Source organism: Homo sapiens, chromosome 19, assembly GCF_000001405.40.
Source record: "Homo sapiens chromosome 19, GRCh38.p14 Primary Assembly".
NCBI classification, from domain to species: Eukaryota; Metazoa; Chordata; class Mammalia; order Primates; family Hominidae; genus Homo; species Homo sapiens.
Genome location: NC_000019.10, coordinates 360682 through 381628, shown reverse-complemented (window position 1 = coordinate 381628; position 20947 = coordinate 360682). Strand labels below are relative to the sequence as shown.

Sequence of the window (20947 nt, the reverse complement as noted above, 5' to 3'; positions counted from 1 at the left end):
CACCACGGTTCTGCTCCACCTCCTACATCTGCTCATCACCACGGTTCTGCTCCACATCCTACATCAGCTCATCACCACGGTTCTGCCCCACCTCCTACATCTGCTCATCACCACGGTTCTGCTCCACCTCCTACATCTGCTCATCACCACGGTTCTGCTCCACCTCCTACATCTGCTCATCAATCACCATGGTTCTGCTCCACCTCCTACATCTGCTCATCAATCACCACGGTTCTGCTCCACCTCCTACATCTGCTCATCAATCACCACGGTTCTGCTCCACCTCCTACATCTGCTCATCACCACGGTTCTGCCCCACCTCCTACATCTGCTCATCAATCACCACGGTTCTGCTCCACCTCCTACATCTGCTCATCAATCACCACGGTTCTGCTCCACCTCCTACATCTGCTCATCAATCACCACGGTTCTGCTCCACCTCCTACATCTGCTCATCACCACGGTTCTGCTCCACCTCCTACATCTGCTTATCAATCACCACGGTTCTGCTCCACCTCCTACATCTGCTCATCACCACGGTTCTGCTCCACCTCCTACATCTGCTTATCAATCACCACGATTCTGCTCCACCTCCTACATCTGCTCATCACCACGGTTCTGCTCCACCTCCTACATCTGCTTATCAATCACCACGATTCTGCTCCACCTCCTACATCTGCTCATCACCACGGTTCTGCCCCACCCCCTACATCTGCTCATCACCACGGTTCTGCTCCACCTCCTACATCTGCTTATCAATCACCACGGTTCTGCTCCACCTCCTACATCTGCTCATCAATCACCACGGTTCTGCCCCACGTCCTACATCTGCTCATCACCAGGGTTCTGCTCTTTTTTTTTTTTTTTGAGAGGAGTCTCACTCTGTAACCCAGGCCGCAGTGCAGTGGCAGGATCTTGGCTCACTGCAAACTCCGCCTCCTGGGTTCAAGTCATTCTCCTGCCTCAGCCTCCTAAGTAGCTGAGATTACAGACGCCCGCCACCACGCCCAGCTAAGTTTTTGTATTTTTAGTAGAGACGGGGTTCACCATGCTGGCCAGGATGGTCTCTATCTCTTGGCGTTGTGATCCGCCTGCCTTGGCCTCCCAAAGTGCTGGGATTACAGGCGTGAGTCACCGCACCCAGCCAGCACTCATCTATTTTCTTATTCATTTATAGGAGCTATTTATTCATGGTGGGTACTAATCAATTATAGATGTGACAGATGCTGCATTCCCATTCGTGGCTTCTGTTTCCACTTTTTTGAGGAGTCCTGAACATGAGGCTTCAGTTTAATATGGCCGACTTATTGGTCGTGTATGATTAGCACTCTACATGTCTTGTTAAAAAAATTACTCCCTACATGGAGCGCAAAAGCATGGTCACATTCATTTTTTTCTGTAAGTTTTGAAGTTGTGTTTCAGCTTTCACGTATCCACTGAGGGCTGTTGTGTGTGGTATGAGGTAGGTGTCACAGAAGGAATAGTGATCCCCAACGGTGTCCACATCCTCGTCCCTGGAACCTGGTGTGAAACTGGTGATATGGATGGGAGTTACCCAACGCAACAGTCGAGAGACCAGGTAAAAAGCATTCAGATGCACGCGCCTGCCCAGGACGGCGTCACAGGCCAGCGCCCGAAACCGCCTGCCGTGACCCTAAAGCCAATTTGACCTGGGAGCTGTGGAGGTGACCTCAGCTAAATGAAGACGCCTTCTGCCGCCACCTCCCTCCCAGTCACAGCTCACCAGGTCCCTTCTGCCCCCACCTCCCTCCCAGTCACAGCTCACCAGCTCCCAAAGCTTCCAGTTCTTGCGAGCTTTCTTTCGAAATGATTCGCAACATTGTTCCTTCTAGTAAAAGCCCCAACCTGCTGCAGATATACCGAAGACCTCCCGGTCTGTGTACAGGCCCGAAATTGCAATTCTGTTTTTTTTGGTTTTTTTTTGTTTGTTTTTTGTTTTGAGACGGAGTCTCGCCCTGTCGCCCAGGCTGGGGTGCAGAGTGGCGTGATCTCGGCTCACTGCAACCTCCACCTCCCAGATTCACACCATTCTCCTGCCTCAGCCTCCCGAGTAGCTGGGACTACAGGCGCCCGCCACCACGCCCGGCTAATTTTTGTATTTTTAGTAGAGACGGGGTTTCACCGTGTTAGCCAGGATGGTCTCGATCTCCTGACGTCATGATCCGCTCGCCTCAGCCTCCCAAAGTGCTGGGATGACAGGCATGAGCCACCGCGCCAGGTCTCAATTCTGTTTTTATGTATTTTCCCAAACAAAATGTCTTACGTAAAAATGCCTCTCTATGTGCTCGTTTGAGTTTGACACTGGGAGCATGTTATTTTATGTGGCAAAATGGACTTCGCAGGTGGGACTGGGGTTGCAGACGTGGAGGGTCAGAGCACCTGGCTTATCCAGGCTGACCTTCAATCACCTGTTTCCGTAATAACCAAACGGGTTTCCCAGCCCTGCTCAGAGATGAGTGCCAGTGGAGCATCCATGTGAGGGGGCTTGACTGGCCGTTGCTGGCTTTGAAAATGGAGCGAGGGGCCAGGACTGAGAAGAGCGGTGGCCTCTGGGTGCTGGGGGGCCCCCAGCTGACACACACAGCAACGCTGGGAAGGGCCCCCGGCTGACACACACAGCAAGAACGCAGATCTCAGTCCTACGACCACAAGGCACTGAATTCTGTGGCCACCAAATGAGCAGGAGACGGGCCTTCCTCTGAAGGCTGCAGGAACCAGCCCTGCCCACACCGTGGCTTGAGTCCAGTGAGATCCATGTTGGGCTTCTGAGCCCAGGGCGGCCAGGTAATCGCTCAGTGTTGCTGGAGCCTCTGCTTGTGATATGTGTTAAGGCGGCCACAGCAGAGAGGAACACAGTAGGGACCTGGTTTATTTTCTGCCAGGCGGACGCCCCAGGTCCGGGCAGTCAGAACCCCACACATCCCACAGCCCGGTCCCCGTCCCCCTCTATTTTCTGCTCAAAGCAACATCACACAACATTCAGAAATCATGCACTTCCTTGGCTGTGAACGTCTTGCTTTTCCACAGGATGTTGGAGCAGACGTGGACCCTCCAACTCTCCCCCGAGTGCGGGCAGAGTTCTGCTGTCCCCGCGCGCTCCTGAGCTCCTCCGGCTCCTGCCGTAGAGACATCCAGCCCTGACTCCCCCGAGAAGGTGCCGGGTGCAGCTCCACCAGCCGCGTGGCCCTGGGAGCTTCCCCATGACCCTGGAGCGCTCATCTGCCTCTCCTCTCCACAACGGGCTGCCATGAGGGCTAAACGCGCTGCAGCCTGGGTGCTGCCTGGGTGCTGAGAGCCGGAGGCTGCCAGACCCCCAACCGCGCCTCCCTGGAGTAGGGTTAGGGAGCAGCCTCGGGGTGCGGCGCCCTGCTCTGAACGAGGTCTCCTGGAAACACTGCAGTGGCCACAGGCCCTCCAGCGGCAACAATGCCTAACTCATCTCTTTGTGAAAGGCACCCGCAGATCTTGATCCAGTTTAACTTAAGAGAGAAAAGTAAATCATTGAGTGCAAGGTAAGGGTTTACGAGACTTCCGGCCAAGAAAGGGGATTTTCCCATGGCCTCCTTGATGGGACCGGATCCTCCCCGGGGCCCTTCTGCCTGGAGTCCTCCGAGAGACCCCTTTCCTGACAGAGGTGGTGGTGAGGCTGCGTCTGGGAGCAGAGCATCAGGGAGATGGGATGGGAGCTGGAGAGGGCTTTGTGTGTGTCGATGAACTGGGTCTCTTGCGTGCCGAGTGGTCACCATGCCCGGAGGGCCGGCCCCACGCTGGTGGCAGGGGTGAGGGACAGAGCAGTCCTCGGGGTGGGCTAGCACTGGGTGGGGGTAGGGGTGGGGGTCCTAGGCCTGGGAGCCCAGAAAGGGGAGGGATGGTCAGGGACTCTCCCTGCGTGGGGGACCGACAGGCTTGAGTCTTCAATGATGAGTAGAAAACCACCAAGCACAGAAGGGTGAAAGGCTGGGTGGGGGCACACAGCACAGAGGGGGAGAGGCTGGGTGGGGCACAGAGGGGGAGAGGCTGGGTGGGGCACAGAGGGGGAGAGGCTGGGTGGGGCACAGAGGGGGAGAGGCTGGGTGGGGCACAGAGGGGGAGAGGCTGGGTGGGGGCACAGAGGGGGAGAGGCTGGGTGGGGGCACAGAGGGGGAGAGGCTGGGTGGGGCACAGAGGGGGAGAGGCTGGGTGGGGCACAGGGGGGAGAGGCTGGGTGGGGCACAGAGGGGGAGAGGCTGGGTGGGGCACAGAGGGGGAGAGGCTGGGTGGGGCACAGGGGGGAGAGGCTGGGTGGGGGCACAGAGGGGGAGAGGCTGGGTGGGGCACAGGGGGGGGAGAGGCTGGGTGGGGCACAGAGGGGGAGAGGCTGGGTGGGGCACAGAGGGGGAGAGGCTGGGTGGGGCACAGGGGGGAGAGGCTGGGTGGGGCACAGAGGGGGAGAGGCTGGGTGGGGCACAGAGGGGGAGAGGCTGGGTGGGGGCACAGAGGGGGAGAGGCTGGGTGGGGCACAGGGGGGAGAGGCTGGGTGGGGCACAGGGGGGAGAGGCTGGGTGGGGCACAGAGGGGGAGAGGCTGGGTGGGGCACAGAGGGGGAGAGGCTGGGTGGGGGCACAGAGGGGGAGAGGCTGGGTGGGGCACAGGGGGGAGAGGCTGGGTGGGGCACACGGGGGAGAGGCTGGGTGGGGCACAGAGGGGGAGAGGCTGGGTGGGGCACAGAGGGGGAGAGGCTGGGTGGGGGCACAGAGGGGGAGAGGCTGGGTGGAGGCACGGGGGGGGAGAGGCTGGGTGGGGCACGGAGGGGGAGAGGCTGGGTGGGGCACGGAGGGGGAGAGGCTGGGTGGGGGCACAGAGGGGGAGAGGCTGGGTGGGGCACAGAGGGGGAGAGGCTGGGTGGGGCACACAGGGGGAGAGGCTGGGTGGGGCACAGAGGGGGAGAGGCTGGAAATTCAGCTCCTTTGGCGACGTACGAGGAATTCCTGAAGGCAGCAGCCTGGGGAATACTCCAGTTATAACCATTATTTTGTTGTGAGGGTTGGAACAGCCTATTTTGAAGTTATTTCTCATGAGAGGTTGGGGCTGGAAGCGTCTGTATCACCTAGGGTGCAGTTTTAGCTGCTAGGAATTGGAAACCAAGCCAAAACGACTTAGTACTAAGGAAACTTACTGTTTCAAGTAACAAGAAGCCTGGACACAGAGTGGATTCCAAGGCTGCTAAGTTCAGAGGCTCGACAGCCACATCAAAGGCCCACCTTTCAGTTCATCTGCCCTCAGATGGCAGGCCTCATGGTCACAAGAAGGCTGCCTGGGCTCTGGACATTACCGACGGGCCCCACAGGGACAGGAACAGGAGACGCGGTCTCTTCCTTGTGTCTCCTTTTGAGAGAGGGAATCCATAGCTAGATGCCCCTGCAGGTTCCCGTCAGGTCTCCTTCCTAAACCAATCCTGGGAGGTCCTGAGTGAGCCGTGACCACCAGGACTGAGTCCTGATCCCAGCGCAAGCCCAGGTGACCAGCATTGGAGACGGCGCACGGGTTAGAATGTGGACCGTGGGGAATGTGACGGACGCTCTCCTGTTGCCGCGGCCACCACAGACACATTTGGGTGCCGGGAGAGTGAGGCCGCGGGGGCTGGGAAGGGACCGGTGTATGGGGGACAGCAGGCGAAGGTCACTCGGGAACCAGCCCAGCTCTGAGGCTGCGGGCAGGTCGGAAAGGGAGCAGGACGGCGACCCCCGTGGCCTCCAGAGCTCTGTGTACGAGAGCCGGCGGGTCACAGACCCCGAACGCCAGGACCTGGACAATGCAGAGCTGGGACCAGAAGACCCAGAAGAGGAGCTTCCCCCCGAGGAGGTGGCCGGGGAGGAGTTCCCGGAGACCCTGGATCCCAAAGAGGCACTTTCTGAGTTGGAGAGAGTCCTGGACAAGGACTTGGAAGAGGACATTCCTGAAATCAGGTGGGCACCGGGGAACGGGCCTGCCTGGGTGCGGTGGGGTAGGGCTCAGCCCCTGGCAGTGGGGGGAGGGCAGCAGCCCCCTGGGCGGGCGAAAGGGTCGTAACCGGCCACCGGCCTGGCTCGCTGCTCCCGAGGGGCCCGGCCCTGCCGAGTCAGCCTAGGTGTGGGCTTGGTCGGTTGGCGGCCAGCACCCCTCACTGGGCCCTGAGGCAGACACCAGCAGACGCTCCCCTATCTGGTGGCAGGAGGAGGAGTAAACAGCGCTGAGTTTGGAGTCAGGCAGACTGAGTTCAGGTGCCCAGAGTTCAGAGTTTAGCGAGTGATGGCCTCAAGTCAGACAGAGAGAATAAGAAATGGGAAAAAAAAAGCCTCCCAACTCAAAAGTTGAAACCATTCTAAGCACCACACGTGGCTAAAAGGTTTTAAATGGTCGGGAGGAACACGTTCTGGGTGAACTGACGCTTCGGCCAATCAGCACTGGGGGCGCTGATTTTGGGCAGTTGCTGGAGTGTCCCCAGCAAGGCGCGCACTCTACATACCTCTGGGACTCGGCTCCCGTCCTCCCTGCAGCGTGGTCCCTGCACGTGCCCGACCTGCCCCCTTCTCACCGTGGTTTCCGTGCCGCCCAGGGAGGTTTGCCGCCCAAGAACAAAGTGGCTGCCCTGCCCTCATGGGGCTCTGCCAACCTGCAGAGAAAACAGCAGGAGTGTGAGGGGATTCTGGGGAGAACGTGGGAGCCAGCAGCTGCATCAAGCAAGGACAGGGCAGATATCCTGGCATTTGGCATCTTCACCTGCTGCCTGTTTCCCTCCCACAGTCTGTGAGCTTTCTGGGAGGCAGGAGCCGCTCTCTTTAGAGGGTGGTTGCCCCTCTGGGGCCTGGCATACAGTAAGCACTTGACAGATGTCTGTGAGATGAGTAAACACTACCTTAGTACTCACCAAAACAGCCCCGCCAGGTGGGAGCTGGTCTCACCTCCAATTCACAGAGGAGGAAGCTGAGGACCAGGGGAGACAGGTGACCTGGACGGGTCTTCCATCCAGCGAGCAGTGGAGCTGCGGTTGGTCCAGGCCTTCGTGGTGCCAAAGTCCTCCCTCAGAGACCCCTCGAGGGAAAGGAGAGGCGGGTGGGCAGGGTGAGTGCAGACAAAAGGCGCTTGAGCAAGACCCACGCTTCTCTGGGCTCCCAAACGCATCGGGGCGGGAAAGCAGCTCCAACTTCAACGTGGAATTCTCCCAAAGCCGGCTGTCCATCAGCCAGAAGCTCCCCAGCACCACCATGACCAAAGCAAGGAAGAGGAGGAGGCGGAGGAGGCTCATGGAGCTGGCAGAGCCCAAGATAAACTGGCAAGTCCTGAAAGACAGGTGAGGACACGCCAGACCACGGCCTCGTAGGGGCAGCGTGGGCGGCTTTCTCTGCACCCTTCCCGGGCTCCTCCTGTCCCCACTGCTCGGCTCCCCTCCCCCAGCTGCCACCACATCCAGCAAACTTAGGGTAGGTGGGGTTGGCCAGTTAAGGAGGTGGCCAGACACTGGGAGTGGCTAGGGAACGGTGGCCCTCTGGGCGGTGGCCAAAGGAGAGTGAGGAGTTTGGGAGCAAACGGGAGACCCAGGGCAAGAGGCAGTGGGGCTCGGACCCTGTCTCCTCGCAGGAAGGGACGCTGTGGTAAGGGGTATGCCTGGATCTCCCCATGTAAGATGAGCTTGCACTTCTGTCTCTGCTGGTAAGTCCAGGGCTGTCTCCGCCGTGTGCCTATGCTGGGGGACACGTGTCAGGTTCCAGGGGACCCCTTCACTCCAGCCACCCTCCTCTCTCCAGGGAGGAGGATCAGGGAGGGCTCCTCAGATGTGGGGCTCTCCACCCTTGTGACCTGGGTCTGCTCCCAGGAGGTGGCCCTGGGCCCTCTTCTTAGCTATGCTTCTCCCCCAGCTACCTCCTTCTCTGGACATCAGCCTTGCTCACAATAATCCACGCGTCCCGCCGGCCCCCCCACTGTCCTTCTCTGGCCTACCCCCTCTCCCAGCAACTCCACACCCCACCTCGGCCACCCTCCTGGCAGAGACCCAGGCTTGTTTCCGGGCAGGGCCAGGGCTCTCTGCCTCCCTTGCCCTGAGCCGTCCGCTTATTCCAGGCCCTCTGTGTACTGGACCGAGCGGTTCCTTGAGGACACCACCCTCACCATCACAGTGCCCGGTAGGTGGAGCCCGTGCCTGCTGAGACCCCTGCCCCCGGCTGCCGGCCTCCAGGGAACCTGCCCCGCCCCATCTAGATACTTCTGGCCTCCCTTGCCCCATCTCCTCGGAGCCTCTGTCCTCCCCACTGGAGTCTGTCCCCTGAGGAGCTAGAGCTGAGACTGGTCCTGGGGGTGAGGGGCATGGGGAACACTCTCTAGGATAGGGCCAAATCGGGGCAAGAATTTACAAAAAGACCCTTTGCTTTCCCTTCCACAATGATTTCCATGCTTTTCTTGAGAGGAATTTGGTATTGAGGTATCATAGATACCTTCAAATGAGACACTTCGAGAGTTCCCCATAGAGGAGAATAACAGTCCAGTTCTCTCCTGTGCTGTTCTTGACTTTAGACCTACAGTCATCACTAGGCCCCTGGAAACCCCAGGCTTGTACTAACTTCAGAACAAAACCCATTTTCCCAGCCTGTGGGTCCCTGGATCTGTATTGAGCCCCGTTGAGGAGCCACGGTGCTGGGCTGCTGTTCCAGCCCTGCCACTCCCATCCGGTGTCCGAGAAAGGACCTTCAAGCCTCTGAGCCCATTGTCCCTAAATCAGGGACAGCAAATCTTCTCTCTGCAGGGTGTCTGGCCCCCAGTTGTCTCTGCCCACAGTTCTTCCAATTCAGCCTCCTGCCCAAGCTCATGAAAAGCTGAATTCCGCATGCAGAAGCCCCTGGGAACTGCAGGGTGTTGACACTGGGGTTCACTGACTCCGTTTCCCATTTTGCATAGCGGTGTCCCGCCGCGTGGAGGAACTGTCTCGGCCCAAGAGATTCTACCTGGAATATTACAACAACAACAGGTGGGGGAAGGAGGGCTGGGTGGCTACTCAGAAGGCAGAGTTTGGCAGAAATGCCTTATTCTCGCCTGACAGGATGCTGTGTGGGAAAGGGTCCAGGTCCTAGCCCTAGACAGCTGGTGTTCAGACGGGGCTGGCCTGCTTCCCAGCCCACATCCCCAGCAGGCTGCTTCCCAGTCCACATCCCCAGCAGGCTGCTTGGCCCCGTGCAACTGCATTGCCAGCTGTGGAATGGTGGTGGAGGGCACCCGTGAACGGGGATTTGCACAGCGCCTGACACAGTGCGTGCTCAGATGTTATCACCATTGTGACTGTATTTTGTTTACTCAAAAAAGGTGGAAATTCTAAGACACATTAGTATTTTATGTACAAAATTCTTTCTTACCACTTACAGCCCCTGTGCTTGTTAAAAGTGATCTTTAGTTATTTAGACACAACATATAATTACCCATCTTTTATGCAGCGTATGAAGGAAAGCACAGCTGAAGTAGACAGCGGAAGTGTGTCCAACTGTTTTGAACCACTTCTGACACAGACGTTGATGTGGGTGTCGCACACACTGTCCTCACGCCTCTGTGCACTTTTTAACGCCAAATCATACTGTGACCTGAAGACAATTTAAACTGTAATTAAACTTAACTCCTGTAGAAGCAGCAGTGCAGATCACGTGAACAGCACACACAGATGCAGCCAGATGTAGCCAGGACACTTCCGCCATCTGGCTGGCAGCACTCGTAAGCTGCATCCTAACCTCAGACCTGTTCAATGTGGAGACCTTGCCTTAGAATCAATGAAATGCGGCTTTATTTCCGAGCAGAGGCATAGCTGAGACCTGATTTCAGAAGGCACAGCCCCGGGAGCTCAGCTGTCCTTCGCTTTCCCCAGCTTTGCAACCTCAGGACAGACACTTTCATCCCTTGGGTCCAAGTGCTCACGCCAGGCTCTTGATGATGGGGGTGTGTAGAGAAGGCCTGGGAGGAGCTGCCGTCCCAGAAGGGAATGGAGAAGGCCTGGACCTGAGGGTGGACGTTGCACATTGAGCAGAGACAACCCTGGGAGATGGTAGCTCTGTACTTGAGAACTCTTAGAAATTCTTTACGAATCCCTGTTTGGAGACGCTTTCAAAACTCACCACTCTCCCAGGCTCTCTTAACCCCAGAAACAGAGGAGGAGCTGGGAAAGACAGACAGACACATATGGAGGAGCTGGGAAAGACAGACAGACACATACACACACACACACACACACACACACACACACACACCCCCACCCCCGGCCGAGCTGCTGGTCTAAAATGGGGACCTCCCCCAGGACGACTCCTGTCTGGCCCATTCCTCGGTCCTCCCTGGAATACAGAGCGTCGAGTCGCCTGAAGGAACTGGCCGCCCCGAAGATTCGTGATAACTTCTGGAGCATGCCCATGTCTGAGGTGGGTGCCCCGTGCCCCCCGCGACTCACCCCCGCCAGGCGGGCTGGGACCCGGCAGAGAGTGAAAGAGGCTTTGCGTTTGGGAGTCAGGGGAGGAGGAGAAGCTGCACAGGGCGGCTGCCTTTGTCTGGGAGCAGCTTTCTTTTGATCTCTCACTGTCTTCAGAGCCGCCCAGGGGTCATCCTTCCCTGCGCTTCAGTCCGGGTGGATCCCAAAGCTTCCAGCTCACACTCAGGAATTAGAACAGTCTTATCTCAGGTGTTCAGAAAGCGCTCATCTCTCGCCCCAGCTCAGGCCGGACTCCTGGCCACCGGCAACCACTGACCTCGCTCTACGCCCTGTACCTTTTGCTTTTCCGAAAGTCTGAACCCCGCAGCCTGCGGGCTTGACCCGGCTTCTGCCGCCCCCCGCCCTGCATCTGAGACTCTCGCGTGCGTCGGTAGTTTATTCCTTGTCGTCGCCGGTTCAATTCCAGAATTTGCCGATCCAGGCACCCACTGAAGGGTATTTGGGTGGCTTCCAGTTTAGGACTGTTACGATAAAACTGATGTGAATACGCCGGGCGCGGTGGCTCACGCCTGTCATCCCAGCACTTTGGAAGGCTGAGGCGGGTGGATCACGAGGTCAGCAGATCGAGACCATCCTGGCTAACATGGTGAAACCCTGTCTCTACTAAAAATACAAAAAAAAAAAAAAATTAGCCGGGGGTGGTGGCGGGCGCCTGTAGTCCCAACTACTCCGGAGGCTGAGGCAGGAGAATCGCTTGAACCCGGGAGGCGGAGCTTGCAGTGAGCCGAGATCGCGCCACTGCCCTCCAGCCTGGGCGACAGAGCGAGACTCCGCCTCAAAAAAAAAAAACAAAACTGTGAATATCTGTATACAGCTTTTTGTGGAGGCGTAAGTTTCCATATCTCCAGGGTAATACCCAGAATTGGAATTTCTCAGTTACTGGGTATATGTAACTTTTAAAAAACTGACCAATGGTTGTCCAAAGTGACGGCGCCGTCTTGCATTCTCTGGGCCGGGATTGAGCTCAGGCTCTCCCCATCCTGGCCGCCGTCTTGCATTCTCTGTGTGGGGATTGCGCTCAGGCGCTCCCCATCCTGGCCACCATCTTGCATTGTCTGGGCCGGGAGTGGGAGCCCAGGTGCGCCGTATCCTGGCCATCTTGCATTCTTTGGGTGGGAAGTGGGAGCTCAGGCTGTCCCTGTTGTCAGGCCTCTGAGCCCAAGCCAAGCCGTCGCATCCCCTGTGACTTGCACGTATACATCCAGATGGCCTGAAGTAACTGAAGATCCACAAAAGAAGTAAAAATAGCCTTAACTGATGATATTCCACTATTGTGATTTGTTTTTGCCCCACCCTAAGTGATCAAGGTACTTTGTAATGTCCCCCACCCTTAAGAAGGTTCTTTGCGAGATCCACCCCTGCCCGCAAAACATTGCTCTTAACTTCACCACCTATCCCAAAACCTATAAGAACAATTGATAATCCACCACCCTTTGCTGACTCTCTTTTCGGACTCAGCCCGCCTGCACCAGGCGATTAAAAGCTTTTATTGCTCACACAAAGCCTGTTTAGGCTTCTTCACACGGATGTGCCTGAAACCCATCCTGGCCACCATCTTGCATTCTCCGGGTGGGGAGAGGGAGCTCAGGCTCTTCCCCATCTTGGCCACCGTCTTGCATTCTCCAAGCAGGGAATGAACTGAGGCGATCCCCTTCCTGGTTGCCATCTTGCATTCTCTGGGAGGGGAGTGAGCTCTGGTGTGCCCCGTCGTGGCCTCCATCTTGCATTCTCCGGGCGGGGAGTGGAAGCTCAGGCCTGCCTCATCCTGGCCGCCGTCTTGCATTCTCCGGGCGGGGATTGAGCTCAGGCTCTCCCCATTGTGGTCAGCACTCGGTGGTAGTGCCTGCTTTCTTGCTTGTTGGTTTGTTCACCTGATTATTCCTAAACGTTTTGGCCGTTTCTCGCGTGGCATTAACTTCTATTCCCCTCACTGTGTGTGGTCGCGTCTTCTCCTATGGTGGTTTCTCAGACCCCACTTGTTTAAAGTGGGGTTTAAAGTTAAACGTGTTTAAAGTGACAGCATCTCTCCCATAAAACTTCAGTAGGAATTTCTAACAGACAAGGACATTTTAAAACACGAACCCAGTAACACTGATCACACTAAAAAGTGAACAGTGGTTCCGTGATACCAACATGCACGGTCCATGTTCCCTTTCCCACTTGTCTGAGCAACGGCTTTCTGCAGTTGGTTTGGATGAATCAGGGCCTGCCCCTCCAGGACTGGAGCTCCTTGAAAGCAGGACTGAAATGGAGTCTCTCTACCTCAGCAGCCCGGCCTGAGCTGTGTGCATGGAAGCCGCAGGGCTGGTGGGAAGAGAGGAGGCTGGAGGGAGCCAGGGAGGGAGAAGACGGATCACTGAGTGGGAGCTTCCATTGTAAACACCACAATATCTTTGCTGAGAGATGTGTCTGTGATTTTTATGGGGGAGCAATTTCAAGAAGAAAGGGACTGAAATTTCACAGTGACCTTTGGGGATGGTTTCATCCTCTGCCTCCACGCAGGCTCTAGAGTTAGGACCAGCCAACAATCACAGACTGTCAGGTAACGCTCCAAGAATGGATGGACAGGAGCATCCAGTTAGGCGTGGGTCGGCCACCTCCACTTCCCTTTTAAGGAAGAAAACATTTCAGCAGCTGCCCTCCTTCCCTCCCTCCCTCCCTCCCCAGAGGCATCAGGAATGGCCAGTTCCTCTTCCAGCAAAGCATAAGTGGGAGACGTGTGAAGCGGTCCTTTGCCTACTCCTTAGTTATTTTGCAGGCGGACTCCTACACACGTGTACGGGAGCAAGCCTGGTGAAGGGGAACAGAATGCGTATGAGGCGAGAGGAGGGAAGCCAGCTCCAGTTTAAGGGTGTCTGAGCGCCGCGCAGTACTCAGTCTCTGCGTAGGCTGGTGCAAAGCATCAAAGAACACACTTTCAGTGCACTATGGGTTTTCTGGAAAATGCCAAGAATGTGTGTGTAGATGGGGTCTTGCTATGTTGCCCAGGCTGGTCTCGAGCTCACATGATCCTGCCACCTCGACCCCCCAAAGGGCTGCCACTGTGCTGGCCACTGCTGAGAATTGATTTGGGGAGCAAGGGTGCCAAGTTTCTGGGTGAAACGTCCGCAAGGTCTCCCGCCTCGGCCAGCACTGCCCCACTGCCATCGTTTTCATATCCTGTCCCCTAGGTCGTGTTTCGTGGTGTTCGTGACCATAAATGACTTCTGTTTTGCTTTCCCTCATTACTGTTTTCTAGAGCAATTTGTGCCAATTTATGGAGAAAAAAAATGGTCTAATTGCTGGGTTGCCCTCTCTTGAGAATGCGCTGCAGTCAGCTTGTGCAGCCCCCAGCGGCCGGGCGCCCGGCTCCTTCCGGGGTGTGTGTGTGGTAACTAAGCTGCAGGGAACATCCCTGCACCCACTTCCTCGGGTCAAGCGCAGGAGTCCCCGTATGTGGCAGTCACCAAGCCTGCGCGTGTTCAGCTGAACCTAGTGGACGAATTGCTCCCTGAGCTGCCTGTACTAATTTACTCTCCTTCCAGTCATGCATGAGAGCCTCTCACCAGGGCTTGATCATGTCAGACTTTTTCATTGTTGCCAAATTTGTGAGCGTGGAGTGATATTTTGTTGTTTTAATTTACATTTGCCAACAATTGTTGATATTACATTGGTCAAAAGACAGGGTTATTGACCATTTAGGGTTTGTCTCCTGTACCCTTTGCTCAGCCCTTTTGGGGTTTTTTTGGTTATTGGTTTGGAGGAGCTCTTTATGCGTGATAGTTACTAATCCTTTCATGAATACATTACAAACCAACTTCTTCCCAGTCTGTCTTGTGTCTTTCAGTGTTGCTCCTGGGGTCCTTCAGCTCCAGGGCCCACGAGGCATCATGGACTGTTTCACGTAACCCTTCTCTCTATTTCTCTTTCCAGGTGTCCCAGGTATCCAGGGCAGCCCAAATGGCAGTCCCCAGCTCGCGGATCCTCCAGTTGTCAAAGCCGAAGGCCCCAGCCACCCTCTTGGAAGAGTGGGACCCCGTGCCAAAACCCAAGCCACATGTGTCAGACCATAACCGCCTCCTTCACTTGGCCAGTAAGTAGGTGCCTCAGGCTAGGCATTTCCTGATGTCCTGTTCAGATCCCAAGGGACACCTTATACCTCTGCCTAGAGCGGGCAGAGGGAAGCTCTCCCCCATGAAAGAGAAGCAGAAATCACAGGGACGTGTGGTCCGGAAGCAGAGGGTGTTGTCTGAGAGGGTTTTCTAGCAGGAAAAAAAGGTGTAGAAGAGAAAATCAGGGTGCAGAGCAGGAACCAGAGAACCACGCTAAGGAACAAATGCAGCTTTAAAATGGGTGTTGGCCTGACTCCATTCCTGTCTTTTAAAACAAGTTGAATAACCATTTTCCTCAACGACAAGGGTAATGTGTGCGAATTGCCAGAGAAGTTGCTTGGCCATTTAGGTTTACTCTTCTATATCGTTTTCCCAGTTTCCTGCTGCCTGGTGTTTTGGAGTTGTAGATTGGGAGCAGCTCTTTATGTAAGACGGTTATTAATCCCTTGTTGAACACATTGCACAATAACTTCTCCCAAGTCTCTGTCTTGTCTTTTAACTTCGCTTATGGGGCCTTTTCTTTGTTTATTCATTCTTTCATCCATTCCCTTGATATTTGTGAAATGATGAGTGAAATGAATGGAAACAGATGAGGGCTGATGCAGCACTGCCTTACACCGTCCTGCACACACTTGTGCTCGCCACACACACACGGCGAGTATAAACATCCATACACTGGTACACGCACGCACTCACGCTCACCACAAACACACACACGTTGAGTATGAACATCGATACACTGGTACACACATGCATGGATACATCCATCCATGTTTCAAATGTACATATAAATATATATCCGTGTGTGCACATGCATGTGTTTGTGCGTGTGCATGCGTGTGTGAGAGAATGACGGAGGGTTGAGGCTTCCACCCACTCATAGTTGGGACCACCTTTTTTTTTTTTGAGATGGAGTCTTGCTCTGTCGCCCAGGCTGGAGTGCAGTGGCGCGATCTCGGCTCACTGCAAGCTCCGCCTCCTGGGTTCACACATTCTCCTGCCTCGGCTTCCCGAGTAGCTGGGACTACGGGAGCCTGCCATCACTCCTGGCTAATTTTTGTATTTTTAGTAGAGACAGGTTTTCACCATGTTGGCCAGGCTGGTCTTGAACTCCTGACCTCATGATCCGCCCACCTCGGCCTCCCAAAGTGCTGGGATTACAGGCATGACACCGCTCCTGGCCAGGAAGCAGCATTTTTAAAACGTGAAGCAGACCAGCAAATGAAGTGCACTGACCTATGTGGGGTTAGAGCGAGAGTGTGGCTGTTTGTGCTCACACTTGCTGTGTGGGGGTAAGAGTGTGGCTGTATGTGCTCACACTTGCTGTGTGGTGGGGGTAAGAGTGAGTGTGTGGCTGTGTGTGCTCACACTTGCTGTGTGGTGGGGGTAAGAGCGAGTGTGTGGCTGTGTGTGCTCGCACTTGCTATGTGGGGGTAAGAGTGTGGCTGTATGTGCTCACACTTGCTGTGTGGTGGGGGTAAGAGCGAGTGTGTGGCTGTGTGTGTGTGCTCACACTTGCTGTGTGGTGGGGGTAAGAGCGAGTGTGTGGCTGTGCTGTTTCTCTGTGCGTGCTCACGCTTGCTATGTGGGCTCAGTTGCTGCTGCTCGGGAGTGCTGGAAACTCAACAGAGTTTCAAAGCCCAGATGCCTACTAAATTCTCACAGAGGAGTTCAAAGAAGGCTAGGCTCTGGGCACGGTTCTTCCAGCCCCCTTAGGGTCACCAGGGCCCCACTGCTTGGCCCCCTTACCCTGCACAAGGGCATCTGCCGGGCAGAGCTCGCATCCACCCGGAAGGTGCAGAAGAGACAATTAGCATGCAGAGCAGGGGCCAGAGAAGCACTCACACCTGTACCAGTATATGGATGTTTATATTCACGACGTGTGTGTGTGGTGAGCGCGGGTGCGTGCAGGATGGTCTAAGGCAGTGCTGTATCTGCAGTTTCCATTCAGATGGCCTTGCCCAGCCACGTGCCACGTGGGGTTCTGCCTGCCTAGTGGAAGAGACTCCACACTCTTTTCCCCAGGAGCCTCTTCACAGAGCCAGGGCTGGTCTGCCAAGAAGTGGGTAGCCCTTATTCATTTGCGCAGAAGTTCCACGCAAAGAGGGATCTGGAAAGAAGGTGGGAGCTTTCCCAGAAATCAAAGGCCCTGAAGCCTTCAGAGACAAGGTAGAGGACAGCCCCGGCTGCTATGCCAGACTCGGTGGCCACCTTTCTTCCTAGTCTCCAAGCAGTCTGCTGCAGCTCCCTGCTATAAAGGAAGGGGTGGGGGAGAGATGGTGAGAAGGGGGTACCAGGAGGAGGGGGCCACGAGTGCCTGAGGGACAGCCACCAGGGAGCAAGACATGACCCCAGCCAGGGGGAGGAGATGCCTCCTGCCCCGACCCACTTACCACCATGACATGAGCAGGTGGAGAGGGGGGTGAACCAGGGTCACCTGTGTTGGCAGCAGAGTGAGGAGACTTGAGCTCTCTTGGCTGTGGCCCCCTGAGTCCCCCTTTCAGGTACCTGTGGCCATTTTTTTTTTTTTAGAGATGGGGTCTCGCTGTGTTGCTCAGTCTGGCCTCAAAACTCTAGGGCTCAGGTGATCCTCCTGCCTCTGCCTCCAAAAGTGCTGGAATGACAGGCATGTGCCATTGAGCCTGGCTGCCAGTGGCCGTTTAAAATATTTTTTCTTTTTTTTTCTTTCTTTTTTTTTTTTTTTTTTTTGAGACAGAGCTTCGCTCTGTCACCCAGGCTGGAGCGCAGTGGCGCGATCTCAGCTCACTGCAAGCTCCGCCTCCCGGGTTCACGCCGTTCTCCTGCCTCAGCCTCCTGAGTAGCTGGGACTACAGGCAGCCGCCACCACGCCCGGCTAATTTTTTTTTTGTATTTTTAGTAGAGATGGGATTTCACCGTGTGAGCCAGGATGGTCTCGATCTCCTGACCTTGTGATCCGCCCGCCTCGGCCTCCCAGAGTGCTGGGATTACAGGCATGAGCCACCGCGCCCAACCGAAATATTTTTTATTTGTAATTCACCCTGTTTTAAGTGTAGGTTTCGTAGCTCGATGTGGCAGTGCATATGACTGTAGCCCCAGCTACTTGCGAGGCTGAGGTGGGAGGATGGCTGGAACCCAGCAGTTCAAGTCAGGTGGAGGCTGCAGTGAGCTAAAGATCGTGCTCCAGCCTGGGAGACACAGCAAGACCCTGCCTCAAAATAAAATAAAATGGGGCCGGGCACGGTGGCCCACACCTGTAATCCCAGTACTTTGGGAGGCCGAGGCGGGCAGGTTGCCTGAAGTCAGGAGTTCGAGACCAGCCTGGCCAACATGGTGAAACCCTGTCTCTACTAAAAATACAAAAAATTAGTCGGGCGTGGTGGCGGGCGCCTGTAGCCCCAGCTACTCGGGAGGCTGAGGCAGGAGAATCACTTGATCCTGGGGAGCGGAGGTTACAGCGAGTCAAGGTCATGCTACTGCACTCCAGCCTGGGCAACAGAGCAAGACTCTGTCTCAAAATGAAATAAAATAATAAAGTAAAATAAAATGATAAAATGAAATAAAATAAAAAATAGGCCAGGCACAGTGGCTCACGCCTGTAATGCCAGCCCTTTGGGAGGCTGAGGCGGGCGGATCGCCTGAGGTCAGGAGTTCAAGACCAGCCTGGCCAACATGGTGAAACCCCGTCTCTGCTGAAAATAGAAAGATTAGCTGGCTGTGGTGGTGCACGTCTGTAGTCCCAGCTACTCAGGAGGCTGAGGCAGGAGAATTGCTTGAACCTGGGAGGCGGAGGTTGCAGTGAGCCGAGATCACGCCACTGCACTCCAGCCTGGGCGACAGAGCAAGGCTCTGTATCAAACTAAATAAATAAACAAATAAAAATAAAAAATATGTTTCAGTGGCTTTTAGTACAGTCACAGGGTTATGCAACCACCACCACAGTCAATTTCAGAACCTTTTTATGCCTTCAGAAGGCAGCCCCGCCCCCATCAGCTGTCACTCCCCATTCCCGTCTCCCAGCCCCTGGCACCTACACGTTCACTTCCGGACTCTGGATTGGCCTGTCCTGGACATTTGTATAAATGGAATCACACACTGTGTGTCCTTTCGTGTCTCTGGTCTCTCGCAGCACATGCTGTCCTCAAGGCTCAGCCATGCTGTAGCTGGTGCTAGAGCCTCGTTCCTTTTCTTGGCTGAGTCATATTCCACTCTGAGTGGACTACATTTTCATCCTCCGTTTCTCTGCTGATGAGCAGGCCGTTTGAATGGGGGAGCTTTTTTTTTTTTTTTTTTTTTTTTTTAAGATGGAGTCTTGCTCTGTTGCCCAGGCTGGAGTGCAGTGACGCGATCTGCGCTCACTGCAACTTCTGCCTCCCAAGTTCAAGCCATCCTCATGCCTCAACCTCCCGAGTAGCTGGGACTAGAGACGCACCACCACGCTCAGCTAATTCTTGTATTTTTAGTAGAGACGAGGTTTCATCATGTTGGCCAGGCTGATCTCTAACTCCTGACCTCAGGTGATCCACCTGCCTCAGCCTTCCACAGTGCTGGGATTCCAGGTGTGAGCTCCCATGCCCAGCCTGAATGTGGAGCTTTGAGGTTTGAGCTTCAGTGCTGTCCTTCTCTTCTGCCCCCACTAGGGCCCAAAGCTCAGTCGGACAAGTGCGTTCCTGACCGAGATCCTCGCTGGGAGGTGCTGGATGTCACCAAGAAGGTGGTGGCCAGCCCCCGGATCATCTCCCTGGCCAAGCCCAAAGTGCGCAAGGGCCTCAACGAGGGATACGACAGGCGTCCCCTCGCCTCTATGAGCTTGCCACCCCCAAAAGCATCACCAGAAAAGTGTGATCAACCCAGGCCTGGCCTCTAAGACCTCCGCTCCCAGTAAACACCCTCAGGCACCCTAACCCTGTGTATGTGATTATTCTGAGCTTTTTGGCCTGGAGAAGGGAGGGCGGGCTAGAAGGCCAAAAGAAGGATGAGGAGGACAATAATATTTATTTTTGCATCCAACCTGCGACTTGTCCAGCTGTTTATTTTCCGAGTCACTTTCATTGACCATCTCGAGCGCCTTCTGAATCTCTTCAGTCCAGACTTATTCGTCCATTCCTGAGGGCCCACGGGACCGTCGGAGTCGGAACGACAGCCACAGTCAAACCAGCCGACGCTCCTGCTGAGGGGCCACGGGACCGTCGGAGTCGGAACGACAGCCACAGTCAAACCAGCCGACGCTCCTGCTGAGGGGCCACGGGACCGTCGGAGTCGGAACGACAGCCACAGTCAAAGCAGCCGACGCTCCTGCTGAGGGCCCACGGGACCGTCGGAGTCGGAACGACAGCCACAGTCAAAGCAGCTGACGCTCCTCCTGAGGGCCCACGGGACCGTCGGAGTCGGAACGACAGCCACAGTCAAACCAGCCGACGCTCCTGCTGAGGGGCCACGGGACCGTCGGAGTCGGAACGACAGCCACAGTCAAACCAGCCGACGCTCCTGCTGAGGGGCCACGGGACCGTCGGAGTCGGAACGACAGCCACAGTCAAACCAGCCGACGCTCCTGCTGAGGGGCCACGGGACCGTCGGAGTCGGAACGACAGCCACAGTCAAACCAGCCGACGCTCCTCCTGAGGGCCCACGGGACCGTCGGAGTAGGAACGACAGCCACAGTCAAACCAGCCGACGCTCCTGCTGAGGGGCCACGGGACCGTCGGAGTCGGAACGACAGCCACAGTCAAACCAGCCGACGCTCCTGCTGAGGGGCCACGGGACCGTCGGAGTCGGAACGACAGCCACAGTCAAACCAGCCGACGCTCCTGCTGAGGGGCCACGGGACCGTCGGAGTCGGAACGACAGCCACAGTCAAACCAGCCGACGCTCCTGCTGAGGGGCCACGGGACCGTCGGAGTCGGAACGACAGCCACAGTCAAACCAGCTGACGCTCCTGCTGAGGGGCCACGGGACCGTCGGAGTCGGAACGACAGCCACAGTCAAACCAGCCGACGCTCCTGCTGAGGGGCCACGGGACCGTCGGAGTCGGAACGACAGCCACAGTCAAACCAGCTGATGCTCCTCCTGAGGGCCCACGGGACTGTCAGAGTCGGAACGACAGCCACAGTCAAACCAGCCGACGCTCCTCCTGAGAGCCCACGGGACCGTCGGAGTCGGAACGACAGCCACAGTCAAACCAGCCGATGCTCCTGCTGAGGGGCCACGGGACCGTCGGAGTAGGAACGACAGCCACAGTCAAACCAGCCGACGCTCCTCCTGAGAGCCCACGGGACCGTCAGAGTCGGAACGACAGCCACAGTCAAACCAGCCGATGCTCTTGCTGAGGGGCCACGGGACCGTCGGAGTAGGAACGACAGCCACAGTCAAACCAGCCGACGCTCCT

The 20947-nt window shown here is 56.1% G+C and overlaps 1 protein-coding gene across 8 annotated transcripts; it reads left to right on the top strand.

The window, feature by feature from the left end:
* The first annotated feature begins 5602 nt into the window (after positions 1 to 5602).
* On the top strand, positions 5603 to 19882 carry SPMAP2 (sperm microtubule associated protein 2). Of its 8 annotated transcripts, XM_011528049.3 has the most exons (9): positions 5603 to 5966; positions 7208 to 7330; positions 7618 to 7689; positions 8098 to 8159; positions 8929 to 8998; positions 10307 to 10424; positions 14405 to 14564; positions 16609 to 16704; positions 19203 to 19882. In XM_011528049.3, the coding sequence occupies exons 1-9, from the start codon at positions 5659 to 5661 to the stop codon at positions 19427 to 19429; spliced, it is 1236 nt and encodes a 411-aa protein (XP_011526351.2). In that variant the 5' UTR covers positions 5603 to 5658; the 3' UTR covers positions 19430 to 19882. The 8 variants fall into 8 exon arrangements, with proteins under 8 accessions (XP_011526351.2, XP_011526352.2, NP_057669.1 ...); XM_011528050.3 differs by lacking the exon at positions 7618 to 7689; NM_016585.5 differs by lacking the exon at positions 16609 to 16704.
* The last annotated feature ends 1065 nt before the right edge of the window (positions 19883 to 20947 follow it).